The 15,809-nt window shown below is 43.6% G+C and overlaps 1 long non-coding RNA gene across 2 annotated transcripts in view, besides 1 other annotated feature; it reads right to left on the bottom strand.

The window, feature by feature from the left end:
* LOC105370651 (uncharacterized) overlaps window positions 1-2,765 on the bottom strand; it is a 91,436-nt gene extending 88,671 nt beyond the window's left edge. For both annotated transcript variants that reach the window (XR_944186.4, XR_944185.3), the window contains exons 1-2: window positions 2,600-2,765; window positions 925-1,107 (exon numbers count right to left, since the gene is read on the bottom strand). This is a non-coding gene — a long non-coding RNA (uncharacterized LOC105370651). The remainder of the gene's footprint in view (window positions 1-924; window positions 1,108-2,599) is intronic.
* Window positions 10,834-10,883: an enhancer, noted in NCBI's record as "active region_9001". NCBI's record gives its function as "activates an Ori minimal core promoter by ATAC-STARR-seq in GM12878 lymphoblastoid cells {active_cell/tissue: GM12878}" and the evidence as "EXISTENCE:reporter gene assay evidence [ECO:0000049][PMID:35858748]".

Below are 15,809 nucleotides of genomic sequence, written 5' to 3'. Positions count from 1 at the left end.
CATGCCAGTGGCATATGGGTGGGGATTAATGAGGACTTGTTAGGGTACAACTTTGGTGGTCAGGTCAATGAAGCAGCATTGATAACTCCACTTAGATAAATGAAGCAAAAAGGGAAGTTTATCCTGAAGATAATGAGACGTCACAGGGAGCTTAAGAAAGGAACACTGGTAGTCTTCACGAATGGATAGAAAAAAGATCCTCATGTCAGGTGCTTTCAGGCCCTCTCAGCTTTTGTCCATGTCCCTTATTTCCTCTCCCTCTCTCTCTCTCTCCTTCCCTCCCACCATCCTTTCATGCCCCCTCCCCTCTCTCCTTTTGTTTTTCATATCTACTTGATAAGAAATGTGGTAGCCAACACTTCAGCCAAAGTCTTCACATATCCCTTCTCTCTTCCAGACTTTCTCAACAAAACTGTACCCCATTTCCCAGTTTCTGTCTCAAAATTTCCTAGATAAGCCTTAGATTGGCTTATTTGGGGTTGGATGACCAACACGAGACCAATAAAACAGCCAGGGGACAGAGTAACATTCTACCACTAAAGTGGATTTTAAAATAACAGTAAAGATATGGACAGTCAAGCTGGGCAGTTACTAGAAAAAACATGATGAGAAGCAAATTATAAAGATGTCCTGTGCAGGTGTGCATGCGCACACACACACACACACACACACACTACCCAAAACATAGTAGGCCTGCCAAAATATTTGTTGAATTACTAATTCAATTATTAATACAGGTTTCATTATTGAGGAATACGTATTCATAATGGTGGCTTTAGTCCTGGAAAAATTCTCTGCTTCCTGTACCCTCAGAGAAGGAAAATGAATTTTCACTGCAGTTCAAATGCTTGCTGGGGTCAAAACACTCTGTTATCTTGAACATATGTCTAATGATATTTGCTTTAATGAAGAGCCACAGCTTACCTCCTTCTCCACAGCACTTGATCTTGCATTTGGGGTGTGGAAGGTCACCCAGCGTGTTCTTGCCCTCGGCTTTGGCTCACCCTGCTGGTGACGAGACCACAGAAGGATAATAAAGAATGGGACCCAGCCTTCCATTAATAGTTTGGCTGGGTTTCCATTGCTGCCCTCTCTCAGCTTGTGGTCCTGCAATGAGTTTCAGTCAAAAGCAAAAGGGAAGTGGTTAGTTTTAAAAGGAGTATCTGCACTTTAACAGCCACTGGAGTCTCTGCAGTTTGCCCATTGAGTTGCAGTGGGGTAGAAACACGGAGCACAGACAGGCACCAGGGCATCGCAGTTACAACGACAAGCTGCAGAGCCAACCCAACTGGGTTCATTTCTGCCTTTTTTCACTTATTAACTTGGTCCATTTTCTTCATCTCTCTGTGTCTCTGTTTACTGTAAAATAGGCATAACAATAGTACCATGCCTACAGGCTCATTCTAGGGCATAAATGAATGACTGAGAGGGTTGACATTGTGCCTGGAACATAGCAGGATGCTCAGGTCTCAGAAGCATGGAGTCATAAACTCACTCCCGAGCTGTCCTTGCGCCATCTTCCGTCATATCCCCGTGTTAATAACCTAAATCTTCATGCCACAGGATTCACTGAAACCCATCCTTCTGCCTTCTCAGACACTCTGGTTGTTTGCCTCTCTCATACCTTGACCTCGAGGATGGAGAGGCTTGACCTTCTCCATCCTTCTTCCCTGATTCTCTTGTGACTTCTCTGTACTACCATGGCCATCTCCCACTCACTTCAATGTTCACACACATGCACACATGCACAGACTGGGCTCTGCTCCTTCCCTCATGGGTCTGCTGTGGTTGCAGATCCCACTGAGGGAGTGGGAAGGGCAGAATGAATTTACAACCCAAAGAGGAAGCACCTCAACCTCAATAGTGACTTAGCACTGTTCTTTCTACCCGGAAACCTCCTGCCCTCACAAAGGTCCCTATGCTCCTCCTCCTTCATTCTCAGCCTACCATGGCCTGGGCAGCTGTGGTCATCTCCCTGTGAAGAGCCAGCTATGCCCTGATGCCAAGCCTCAGCCAGACCCCACGTGGTCCTTAGAGACCTAGGAAGGCAGACTTTCACTTCACTCAGTAGATGTTAAACATCCTAGTGGGAACATTAAGCACTCGAATAATTTCATAGATTCTGGATTTTTCCCAAGGTTACATGTCTTCCCCCATACACAACTTTGGTAGATATTGACCTTATGCAATGCATGTTTAACTGGATCTCCAGTGTGACTTCACCTGGAACAAACACTCTCCACCCAAAAGAAATATATGCTTCCATGTTTCAGATCCCCGAATTTCAGAAATATTGGGGCCCTGCCTCAGAGCACCCCACTACAGCAATATGCTATATATGGAATGTCCTTAGAAAAAGGAGGCTAGGATCAGTTGAGCTCACAGCACTGGTCATAAGCTTCATATAAGCCACTCAATTTATTTAATTCTTCCAACATTGCTGCTGAGCAGACATTTCATTTATTAGGGACTGAGACTGAGCAGGAAGTGATGACCTGAACAGTGAAGCCAGCCTCTGAGGGTTAGAATCCACTTCTGTGGCATTCCAGCCTCCCTGCTTTTTCCCAGACACCTCCCTGCTTTTTCCCAGACACCTCACCTGTCTTCACAACTCCAGGGTTAATGGTTGCTCCATCGTGCCTGGTGTTTGCCCAACCCAATCTCCTCCTAGACCACAGACATGAGTGGAAAGTCCTACTGTACAGGAACTCAATTCTGTCTGAGAGCTCTGGGCTGGTGACAGGAGGCTCATTCTGCTGTACACTGGGCTGTGCACTCTTGGTTAGGGTTTCAACACCAGTGTTTTCACACTATGGTCATGACCTGCTGGAGGTTCATGAAATCAGCTGAGTACAACTGGCGTTTCAAAACAACAAAACAGAATATTATAAAATAGAAAATATCAGATTTAAACACCCACATTTGGAAGGAATGTTGTTTTGGGCAACTTTTGTTTAGTTTATCTGTCACATAGCTAGCTAGCTGTAAATATGTTTGGTAAAACTTCTGTTTCTCATTTTGCCTATATATGTATCTGGCTATTTCTCTATCTGTTTATGTGTCTGTATCTAGTTTGTCTGTCTGTCTATCGTTCCATGCATATATTTGGACTGGATTGTAGTTAAATGCATATCTTACTATGCATTGAGGTTGAAAAAGTTTAAATTCACTTCTCTGAATCTCTCTGAAAGTTTAGGTTTCTTTCTTTCTTTTCTTTCTATAAAAAAGGTTATATAAAGATATAACCTAATGGGTTGTTGTGAGGTTCAAGTGAGATGTATATTAAAGGACTTTGTAAAGTCTGATTTCTCACAAACAGGCTGTTTACTACCAAGAAAAGATTGGCATCGCATGCCACTCAGAGTTCCAGATTTGAACCCCTACTTCTCTGTTCCTCAGAGAAGGCCTCCATTTCCTCATGACTGTCTAATAAACATGGAGCTGCTCTGGGGAGATGCAATTGTGAGGAAATGGATACAAGGCAGAAAACAAATTCCAAGGCTGTTGGAGACCCCAGTGCTAAGGACTGGAGTGAGATCCACTCAATGGGGTAACACTGAGACCCAGGACTGTGGAAATGTAATAAGATGACTCAGCAGAATTCAGGCTGACATCTCCACGGACAAATCATACATTTTCTTATAAGTTGGGCCTTCAGAAGTAATATTCTTTTCAAAAAGTTAATAATAAGCGAGGCTCTTCTATTCTAGCCAGAATCCAGTGTGAATATTTGAAACAAATGACTTTCACAGATATATAGAGGGAAAAAAGAATTCAAAGCTAGCATCTTATCTTGGAGATGAAAAAAGTGGGGGTGGGAGGAGAGAGCCACAGTCACACAATGCCTCTGTGAGAGCAGTTAGATTATAATCCAGGTCTATCCCAGGACTGGAAAAAATACACACTCAGTGGTTCTCACTGGTGATGGATTTATGGGTAACTGATTTTCTTCTTTGTTGTTTCAAATTTCAAAAGGGAATGTAAATTATTTTTACAGTCTGATTTTTTTTAATTTTTCAATAAGTCATTAAAAAATAGAATGCATCAGAGGAGAGTAACCAGGATGAAAGGGGAATTCCAAACTGTTTTACACAAGAAATAGTTAAGAAAATTAGAATGTTTATTATGGAGATGTAAACTCTTACCAGAGTGTAAACAGGAAGAGGCATTCACAATCACTCACTGTCTGCAAAAGGAAAAGATCTCTGAAGGCAAAGGGGCTGGGTTTTTCTTCTTTGTGGCTCCAGGGACAGAATGAAAGAGCCTAAGCAGGTTTCAGAGAGATCTTTTCCATATCTAGAAAGAATTTCTTACAGGTAAAGCTGAACTTAGGAAACCTGGGGATTGTCATCACTGGAGGAGCTTGGCAGAGACTGAAGAACAAATGGCGGTGGAGTTTTCAGAGGGATTTTCATGGGTTAGTGCTTGAAGGAAAAGATCTGAGTGTGTTCTAATTTAGGACACCCTATGAGGATGCAGGAAGCTCTTACAGTGCCCTGTGGCTCCACATCTCTCTTAGATGTGGCTTAAATTATTGTAGCAAACATGTTTCATGTTCCACCATCATCTTCTTAGCCATGGCTTTAGGACATGCTTTTATGGAGGCATCTTCTGGACCTTCCTTCGTAATAGACTCAGTAATGACCCCCAAAGATGCTCCCATTCTAATGACTGGAACCTGTGAATACGTCACCTTACCTGGCAAAAGATAATTTTGCATATGTTATTAGATTAAGGGTCTTGGGATGGGAGATTATCCTGGATTATCTGAATGAGCCCAATGTAATCACAAGGGTCCTTATAAGAGGAAAGCAGGAGGGTCAGAGTCAGAGAAGAAGACGTGACCACAGAAGCAGAGGATGAAGTGATGTACTTTGAAGATAAAGGAAGTGGCCATGAGCCAAGGAATGCAAGCAGCCTCTAGAAGGTAGAAAAGAGAAGGAAACAATCTCTCCTCTAGAGCTTCCAGAAGGAACGCCAGCCTGTTGGCATCCTGATTTGGGGCTTCTAACTTCCAGACTGCAAGATCATAAATTTGTGTTATTTTAAGCTTCTAAGTTCATGCTAACTTGTTACGGCAGCAATGGGAAACAAATCATGGAGCCAATTAAATAAACACAGGGAGGGAAAGAAAGATGATCTAACTTATTGTGAGGACTGATACACCTGGGGCAGACTACACACTTTGCTTTATGTGCTTATCACTTGAACCTTAGATGTGGGTATCAGAAACCCTATTTTATAGGTGAGGAATCTAAAGCTTTATAGACATTAAGTCAGTTGCATAAGAGAATTTTTACAGTCTGAGAAATCAAGCTGGAATCTAGACCAAGAGCTGCCTAGCTTTTCCCACTGAACTTTGCTGCTTCCTAGCAGGTCTGCCAGGCACCAGATCTAATCACTGCTGCCCTGTGCCTTCCCTTTCTATCCACCGTCCGAACTCTAAGCCCTGCAGTTCCAGGAGGCCTGGGCATGGGGAGGTCCTCTCCCCACAGGAGCATGCGCATGGTTGGCTGTGAATATTCAACACCCTGATATTCGGTAAGGCTCCCACTGTGGTCAGAGCCCAGGTGGTAGGGGAGGGGATAACTAATGTGGTTTCAGATGCCGGAGATGTGTTGAAACAAGGCTGGACCAAGAGAGGTCACCTGAACAACCCGATAAAGGGTTGTTGATCTCCGGTCTGAAACCAGAGCTGAGATCGGCTGCTTTTTCTCGTGGGTAAATTTTTAGAAAGATCACTTCCCTTCTGAGATGGAAACTCGACCCATTTCTGCAAATGCCTGTAACTCTATCTTTGCAGCATCATAGAGTGCCCATACTGGGCATGCCGCACAGGTAGTCCTTTCAGTTGTTTTCGTTTTTTAAGTTAGTACTTTCTTGTTCCTGTAAGTTACTTCACTAAACCTCGGTTTTTTTTTTTTTTAATGTGTTAGACTAGAATAACAATACAGAATTCAGGAGGCTGCTTTGAGGGTCACAGGAAAGAAAATTATGCCTGCACAAGCACCTTGAAACTGCAATATGCTGTGCAAATTTCATATACTAATTAATTAATTGATAAGTTCATAGCCTGCATTATTTACAAAAACAACTTGATTTAAAATGAAAATAACAAATTGTAAGTAAGCATACACACACATCTGTTGAAAGGAACAATGATAAAAAAAATAGATAAGATAGAACAAGGAAGAATTAAATGATAAAAGGGCTTACCATGAGGGGAGGTATCTAAATTTGTCATCTATTTACCCCCTGTATCTGAATCACCTGCTGTCTGGCCAAAACGTAGATTCTTAGCCCGTTTCTAGACCTGCTAAATGGCCATAGTTGAGGGCAGATATGCAAACAGCATATTTTAATGTTTCAATTTCCAGACAATTTACACTATGGTTTGAGAAACATTGTCCAAAGTTTTAGAAAATTACTAAAAGAAAACTGCAAATTTAACTTGTGGCCTTCTCAGGGGCCCAAACAATCATAATCAGTTAAATACTCTAAGAGTTTACCAGCTAAGAACAGACTAAATCAGGAAAAGCAGATACTTTTTTTCTCTTTTTGAGACCTGAGAGAAATCCCTCTTAGGAGCAACCTCTGAAAATCAGTTAGACATCAACAAAGTTACTGGCCTGCAGATGGATGCATAGCCAGGGCCACAGCAAATGGCCGGGCAGGCTGGATGCTCTGCATCTTCAGGGGCCTGACTTTGCAGGACTGTGATGAAACTGAGCCACTCAAGTTGCACAGTGTGCAACCTGCGTGCAGATTCACAACAGCCTGTTCGAGATCTGCCAGGAATCTCTCTGTAACGTGATTAAGAAGAAAAGTTACTCAGGAGACCTGGTCACACAGTATGGATCATATGAAGACTTTGGCCACTGTGAGTCATCCCAGAAGCAGCAAATAATCTATGGCAAGCCTTCTGGTCTATGTACCTGGCACCATCAACCTTCAGATGTCCTTAAGTGAGACCTGGGCACCTCTGCAAATATTTCCTTTTCCTTTTTCTCAACACCCCTTTTATATTTAGGTAGGCATTGCCATTGCTTCTGCTACAGTTTCTCTAATATGTCTTAATTTAGTGATGAGTAATTTTTTAAAAGATTTATTAACATATAATTTATTTACCACATAACTCATCTTATTTAAAGCACACAATTCAGTGATTTTTAGTATGTTCACAAGTTTGTGTAATCATTGCCACAATCTAATTTTAGAATGTTTTCCCCTACTAAAAGTAGTACTCCCAAATGTATTAGCCATCAATTCTCATTTCCCCCATTTCTCCACCCTCACCCCAGCCCTACACACCACTGATCTACCTTCTAGCTCTATAAATTTGCCAATTCTGATCATTTCATATAAACAGAATCATGAGATATGTAGCTTCTTTTACTTAGCGTGATGTTTTCAAAGTTCATCCATATCATATCATATTTCATTCCTTTTTATTGCCAAATAATATTCCACTTGGTTGACTATATAACATTTAATATATCCATTTATTAGTTAATGGTTATTTGTGTTGTTTCCATTTGGGGGCTATTATGGGTAATGCTGCTATGAACATTCTCATATAAGCTTTTCTGTGGACATTTGTTTTTACTTTTCTTGGGAATACCTAGGAGTGGAGTTGCAGACTCTTGGTAACTCTATGTTTACCTTTTTGAGGAACTGCCAAACTATGTCCGAAAGTAGCCGTGACATTTTGCATTCACACCAGCAATGTCTGCATACTCTTACCAACAGAGGTTACTGTCTTTTTTATTCTAGCCATCCTAATGGGTGCGAAGTGATACTTATGGTCTTAATTTGCGTTTTCCCAAAGACTAGTAGTGTTGAACAGCTTTTCTGTGCTTATTGGCTATTGATCGATCTCCTTAGGAGAAATTTCTATTTAAATATTCTGCCCACTTTTTTAAACTGGAGTATTAGTCTGCCTTTCTATTGCTGACTTGTAAGAGTTCTTTATATATTGTGGATGTAAGACCCTTGTCAATATTTTCAAGTATCTCTTAGCAAATAGTTTCTCTCATTCTGTGGGTTAATCTTTCACTTTTTTCAATCTTCACTTAGTGGCACAAAAGTTTTCCATTTGAATGAGACCAGTTTATCTTTTTTTTCTTTGCTCACTTGTGCTTTCCATACCATATTGACGGCACTGTTGCCCTGTGTATGGTCATGAAGAACTATGCTTATGTTTTCTTCTAAGCGTTTTATAGTGTTACTCTTGCATTTATGTTTATTTCCATTTTGAGTTAATGTTTGTGTAAAACATGTGACTGAGTCCAACTTCATTCTTTTGCATGCAGATGGCCCATTGTACCAGCACTGTTTGTTAAAAAGAGTATTCTTTCCCCATTGGCTGGTCTTGATGCCAATAATCAATTGACCACAAATGCAAGGGTCCATTTCTGGATTTTCATCTCAGTTCTATGGATCTCTATGCCTACCTTCATGCTGGTGCTTAATAAATTCTTCACATGCCTACTAACTCTGTTTAGACCAAGGGTTGGTGAATTGCAGCCCTGGGAATCCAGAGGCAGATGAGTTCTCTGGGTCTACTTAGGCAAGTAGTAGTCTTTTTCACACCAACAGAAGAGTACCCAGGGAGCAACTTCCAAATTGTGTACATCTTGATGTCTTTCATTTCTTGTTAAAAATACTTAACAAATTTTCCCTTTATCCTGAAGGAAAATCCAAACTTTAGTAGACTTCATAAATCTTCTCATAATATGGTTGTGGATTGCTTCTCCAGGCTTACACCCCAAAGAAGATTGCATAAAGATGGCCGTTCTGCATGGAATGGAATTCTCTGCAGAAGACACACAGAAAACACGGGCACACAGCCAATATATTCTACTTGGAATCCGGGATACTTGCTTTGCCCAGTACAATGTAGCAAAACTTGGTGCTGGACAGATTCTGAGTTCAGACCTCAAAAAAAACATATAGGCTCTGATTTCTCTTTTACAACCCTGATAAGTCAGAAAATAAGAAAGCCTGAGATAAACTGCTGGATGATTGGTTGCCATGTTGAGAAGATAAGAGGCACTGCATCTGACAGCAGCCAGTTTCCAGAAAACCTAGCACCTGTCTTCAGATGCATGAGTGAGGCCCAGCCAAGATCAGCTAAGTCTGGCTTAAATTAGCAGAACTACCCATTCCAAATCTGAGCTCATCTCAGGTTGCTGACCAGCAAAACTGTGATCCAAGTAAGTGGTTTTTGTTTTTTACGTCATTAAGTATCAGGGTGACTTGTTACTCAGCAAAAGCTAACTGATACAATCCTCTTAACCTCACACCATTTTTTTCTCACTGTTAAACTTTTGCACATAGTGTCTTCTTTTCTTAGAAGACCTTTTCCAATCTCCTTATCTTTCTACTCATCTTTTAAGCCTCTTCTCTGAGGAGTCTTTCGTGGTGCCCATACCTGGGTAAATAACCCTTTCCCTGAGCTCCCAAAGCTCCCTAGGTTCCTTCTAGCACTGCCTTGTTACCCTGTGTTTGACCTTCTCATTTACTGGTCATAACTCCTCCCCTGCAGACAGTAGAAAGTACCAGCATGCATAGCTGAACTTCATTACTGCAGGCCAAGTGTCAAGATTCATACTTGAATATCATAGGAAGGTAGATGTAGACATATCACTGAAGCTTGAGAGGTCAGGATAAACAGCCTGGAGGATATTACCTCTGGAGAAATGTCGAAGTTGGTACAACCAAGTGTTTTCCAGGTAAAAAGGCCCATGTGAAGAGCTTCAGGAAGGAGAGAGAGAATGCCATATTTGAGGACTGGAATGCGTTCAGGTTTTTGTCTGATGGGGTAGAGCACAGGTAAAGGCCAGGAGTCATCAGGAGTCACCGGCAGACTAGGATCAGCCACCTGGATCAAGTCAGCCAAACCTCTCCTTCCTTTCAGTTCTGTCTATTTTCTTTATGCTCGTTCTTTGGACAGAATACAGTTGTTTTGAAAACCTCAGTCTGATTCCACTAGGCTAGGAAGAACTAAAAAGTGGATTCAGTTTTCAAGTGGCTTCAGCAAGTTCTTCCTTTCCTGGTATCCAGGCCAGTGGCAAAGATTTTCTTCCCAGATTAACAGCAGGGAGAGGAGAGGTGTGGCCCAGAAGTGTGTAAATAGAGCACTAAGGCTAACAAAACCTGGGGAGCTGACTCTCTGCATTTGCTCCGGTGTCTGGTGGGGCGCAGGCTCCTCTCCAGGTGGTACTAATAAAATGAGGCTGGGATAATGGGATAAAAGCCCAGAAACATAAAAGCTGCCTGGAGGGGAAAGGGAAGAAGCAGTGGGGGGATACTTTCCTCCCAATGTTAACTGTTCCCACATTAATCAGATTCAGGTATCACAAATTGGTCTTGTCTGCTCTTCCAGGAACATTAAGGGAAGCCGCAACTCCAGAGTCATGGGTCTTTAAAGCAGGAACAACCCCTTTAATCAAGTGGCCTAGCCTCTCCTGAGAGAGGCAGAAAATGTAAGGCTCAGAGAGGGGCAGTGCCTTGGGACAGTTTGCACAGTGAACAGATGCCCTTTGCTTTCCTTAACTAGACTATAAGACGGCTGAGGGCAGGGACCTGATCTCTGGACTAGCTTCATATCACCATGCCTCACACACTAGTGGTGTAGATGGAAATACAATCCAACAAAATGGCAAATGACAAGGTCATCTCATGGGAAGGTAAGGGTTGTAAATGAAAAGAGTGAGAGCACTGTGAAGGTGACTGGACAGGGAAGCACACTGTGTGGTGTTTAGAATGGGAAGGACAGGGTAGGGTCAAGCTTAAAGGATGAATGGGAGCTCAGGGAATTCTTAGGTCTTACCAGCAGGAAAGGAGAACCCTAATACCACATCAGAGGAGCCAGTGTTAAGCTCTGGGGAGTGGGGGTTGGAGCCAAAACAAGAAGAGAAACCAGGAGGAAATGGCTGCTCAGAAGTGTGACGAGCTAGTAGACCAGACGGACCACACATCTCAGCTGGGAAAGCCCCAAAGATGAATTCAGCATCAATACTAGGATGGTGTGAGTTTAAGATTAGGAAAGGTTTTGGACTGAGGGGACTCAGCCCTCACACCACTTTTACAAGAGCCAAGGTCCAATGGCACCAGGACAATTAGTTGAGACTGAAGAGGACCTTTGGGGGACAGAAGCCACCACCAGCACAAACAAGGAGCAAGCAAGGAAGAGAGGAGTGGATGCAGATGGAGCCCTGATGGATTCCCAGGAATGACTTTTGTTTGCATAGATGCCTCTTTGGAAGAAGAGAGCTCCACGTGCCCGCGCCTCTTGAGGCCTATAGGAAGGTGAGTAGGAGCCCATCTGGACCTACTCCTGGGCGCACTTCCCAGGTCATGGAGCCTTTCCATACCTTAGAGTCCTAATTCACATCAGGTAGATGATGGCAGGACCTTTCTCATAGGGCCATTGTTGTAGCTAAAGCAGGTAGAATAGGACCCAGCCCAAGCATGGGTGATGTGTGTGCTGATCATCTGACACTCGACAGTGTATAATTCTGAGAACTAAACTTCACTCACATCTTACTTTGCATTATTGCCAAGCACTTAAAACATATTCTCATTCAATCTCTATTACAGCCAATGAAATTTGAGACATTTCCTTTTGTCTATTTGTCAGCTGAGTGCCAAGGTCAAGAAAAACAGTGACCTGTGCCCTCATATTCTAAAGTAGCCATACCTGGTTCTGCCCTCATCAGCCCATCAAATACTCTTGGCAGCCTAGGAATTTTTTGGAAAGAAGGCTGAAGAATGAAAGCCTCTTTGGAAACAGTCACTGGCATGCAGCTCTCTGGTAACCCTTAGCAACTGAAGAAGCCTCAAGAGAATAATTAGGGGGAGTTGACGTGTGTTCCCCACCTTTGGGGGTGATAGGGACCATCATATGACTTTTACCTATAGGAGTCTAAAGGTGGTAGACTGGCTGAAGTAGTGTAGTGTGGCACAGCAAATCCAGGTAGCAGCCATCAGAGCCACCTCTTCTTCTAGAAACTCTTGGTATCAGCCAGAATAGCCAATATGAAGATTCTGGCTTTGGGATGCTCAAGGGAATGTCCTACAAGGGTGAGAGGATTTCAGCATGGTGAGTATGGAGAGACCTCTTAGAAATTAAGGGCTGACTAGACTCATATAAGGCCCATTAGAGAGGCCATCATCCTACCATGGGACTACCAAGGGGGTCCCCAGTAAGATCTCTGAGGAACACACAAAAGCATCTCAAGAAGAAAGAATTACCTTTGAATACAAATACCAATGTTTGGCTGCAACTGTACCAGATATACCAGGCTCTATGGGTACTACCATCTCTTCTGTACCCACCCTTCAATGTGGCCCCTTTCTTAAAGGACCACACATCCCAGGGAGAGGGAGGAAGACATGGAGCAGAAGGGGTTAGAGAGAGGAGAACTCATGCCTTCTCCACTGCTGGCATTTCCATTCATCCAACCCAAATTTTAAACAGGATGAGGATTTTATTCAACTGGACTACACATCTTAACAATTCCAAGACAGGAATAGAGAAGAGGGATCCGACATAACACAGAGGCAAGAAAATTACATGAAAGAATAAAGTTGCTTCCTGCCTGCTCCCAACCTAATAGAACCCATTCATGAATTTTGGTATACAAATCAAGTAGGCTGTGCTAGCGCCACGGTCCAGAGAAGAAAGCCAAGGCTTGGACAGGTCAGGTGATTTGCCCAAGATTGCACAGCTCAGAGTTGCAGCTCCGTATGCAGATCTATCTGCCTCCAGGAACTGTGCTGGTAATGCCCAGATGTATACCTACAGCAGTTAATGTGGAGTTAGCAAGAATGGAAGGGTTGAAGCTACAAAAGGCAGTGTGTACACAGCAGAGCAGCTTCAGTTTTGTAACGCAGAGCACAGCCTGTTTATTGATGATCCTCTTCCTAAGTACTTCCCTCATGTTTATGAAATGATGTGTGGGTCCTGCCCCATTTTTAATGACTCCTTATTTACATGGAGCACATTATTTATGGAAGCAGAGATAGCGCCATTGCAAACCCATTAGAAAGCAGAGATAGGAGGAAGGCATTGTTCACTCCCCAGCTAGGACAGGATTCTAATTACTCAGGAGCTCACCCTCCTCGCTGTGGTACCAGGCTCAATAAATAACACCCCGTATGGAAATAGTGCTTGATGTAAATTGTGACTCAGTCCACATAAATTGATAGTTGGCTGGTGGAGAGCTTCCAGCATTTGGCAAGAAAGTGAGTAGCAGCCTGGGAATTTGAAGACCCGGTTCCTCAGAGATGGCAGCCCCCATTCCTCACTGCACACTTCTCAGAAACAATTAACATTTTTTATTTAAGTAATAAGCTCCAAAGAAGAGATGTAGCTGGAAGATAATAGCCCTTGTGAAATCACAAGGTGTTTGGAGGTGAATCTATGGGCACTTCGCATAATGAGACGACCATCCATGGATGCCAATTTTCATAGAGCTTTTCAGTGCTAATCGTTTTTCCAAGAAATAATTCTGAGAGTCCAAGGTGGAAGCTGAGCTTCAAAGGCTAAATTGCTCAAATAACTTTGGAATTCATGAACTCTCAGGAAATGCTAGTTGTGGGACCAAAGAGGCTGTCATTTGGGTTTGTTAAGAAAATACGATTTGCTTTCTTCAAGGAGAGATGGGTGGTCCTTCTGATGTGGGACTCAGGGCTACAGGACCATTCTGTGCTTCTGGGAAAATCAGCAGCAAAGGTGATGATTCAACAGCCCATTCCCCTTACTCAGAAGGCAGCAACTGGTCCTGTCGAAACCAGTAGCAGAATAATTTCGGGAAGAGGTGAAAATTTGTAAGACTCGGTATTATGAGGAAAAGGGAAGTCCTCTAAAAAAACAACAACATGTAAGTGAAAACCCAGAAATGGACCCCACACACCCCGAGTACAGGCTATGGGGACTGCCCCAAGTGTTGCTGTCTGCTGCTCTTCCCAGAGGAGGCAAGGGAAGCAGAAGAAAGACTTCAAGTTTTACAGTCCACAGAAAACTGGACTTGACTTCTGTTTCTGCTACTCATATGCTCTGTGACCATGAGCATGTGATATAGCTTGTTGTTGTTGTTTTTTGAGATGGAGTTTCCCCCTTGTTGCCTAGGCTGAAATGCAATGGTGCGGTCTCCGCTCACAGCAACCTCCACCTCCTGGGTTCAAGCGATTCTCCTGCCTCAACCTCCCAGATACCCAGGATTTCAGGCACCTGCCACCATGCCTGGCTAGTTTTTGTATTTTTAGTAGAGATGGGGTTTCACCATGTTGGCCAGGCTGGTCTCGAACTCCTTACCACAGGTGATCTGCCCGCCTCGGCCTCTCAAAGTGCTGGGATTACAGGGGTGAGCCACCTGGCCCAGCCAGCCTTCATCACATTATTTGATTCCTTTCAATGAGCCAATTTTGATGCCAGCACTGGAGATACAGGTGTCCTGGGCTCAAGAAGTTCAGTGTGTGTCCTAAGGTCTCACTCAAGTCACAGACCCTTTCCTATTTGATCTCCTGCCCAAGAGGCTTGGACTTTTCTCCAGAGGCTTGGTGCAACTCATACATATTGTGCTAGTCTAGGGCTAGGGGGCTTCACCCTGTTTTCTCATGTATATTTTAGGACAAGGCTTTGAGGGAAGTATTATTAATTCAATTTAATTAAGCCCACTAATCAAAGCTGTGGAGTAGCTTGAACAAGGCCCATGCTAGTTGGCAGTAGAGTAGGTCTCTGGCTTCCCATTGAGTGCTCTTTCCTTGATACCCCATGAGTCCTGGGCAGAGCACCAAGCAGCAGCAGCTACTCACACATGCTTGGGCCAAAGCCCCTCATCACCCTGTGAGCAGAGCAGGGATGGTAGTGCAGAGGCTGAGAGCCAAGGTTCATCGTGCTGTCCACTTGGTGCTACCCACTTGGTGGCTAAGGCAGTTCCTAGCTGGGCCTCAGTTTCCTGCTCTTTAAATTGGGCTTGGGGAGACCAATGGCTGCTGTGTTCAGTTGTACACATGAACCCCTGGCCAAAGGGAAAGTGGTGGACAGAATCTAGCCCACTTTCTGCTTGCAATGCTGGGCATCCTCACGTGGAACCGAGCCTGTCCAGAGGAAGGAGCAGTCTTTCTGTAATTACTCAAAAGCTCTATATGTGCTACTGGGTTCCCTTGAGAGGCAAAAGCATCTCCACATTTCCTCCCAACACCTTTCGATATCTCCAGTGTGCACAATCCTGAGAGAGAGAGAGAGAGAGAAACACAAAAGCAGGAGTCCCTCCCCACCCCCCGCCAGGGTTAAACTGAATTTCGCCATGATGTGCATTTATGTGCCTGTTGAGGCAAAGCTGCTCTGTAGAAAGAGCACAGGCTTCAGGATCAGTGAGCTCCAGCTTCACTCCCAGGACCCCACCTCCTAGCCACTGGAACTCAGACATCAGAATGAATGCTGTCCTCTGTCACAGCTATGTGCCAGAGTCTACTATGTGCCAGACCTGCAGGATGTTGGTGCACATAGTGACACTCCAGCATCACCAACCCTCTTCTCCCCTCATCTTGCAGAGCAATGAAGGTACTTAGCTACCATGATAGAGTTGGGAAGGAGTTGCTTGCACCTGGATGAGGATTCAGGTGTCTCCAACCCAAAAGGACTTGCTTTTGGTTGCCTTGCTCTGCCTCACCCAAGTGAGAATAACCCTGCTTTTCCCCATTGGTTTCTTGTAATGGTCACAGTGTTTCATCATCTCAGGTCAGACCTGGGTTTAAATCCTGGCTTCTTTAAGTTCTAACCTTTTGACCTTAAGAAA

This window comes from Homo sapiens, chromosome 14 (genome assembly GCF_000001405.40).
Source record: "Homo sapiens chromosome 14, GRCh38.p14 Primary Assembly".
Lineage (NCBI taxonomy): Eukaryota > Metazoa > Chordata > Mammalia > Primates > Hominidae > Homo > Homo sapiens.
This window is presented reverse-complemented; position numbering and strand designations above follow the sequence as displayed.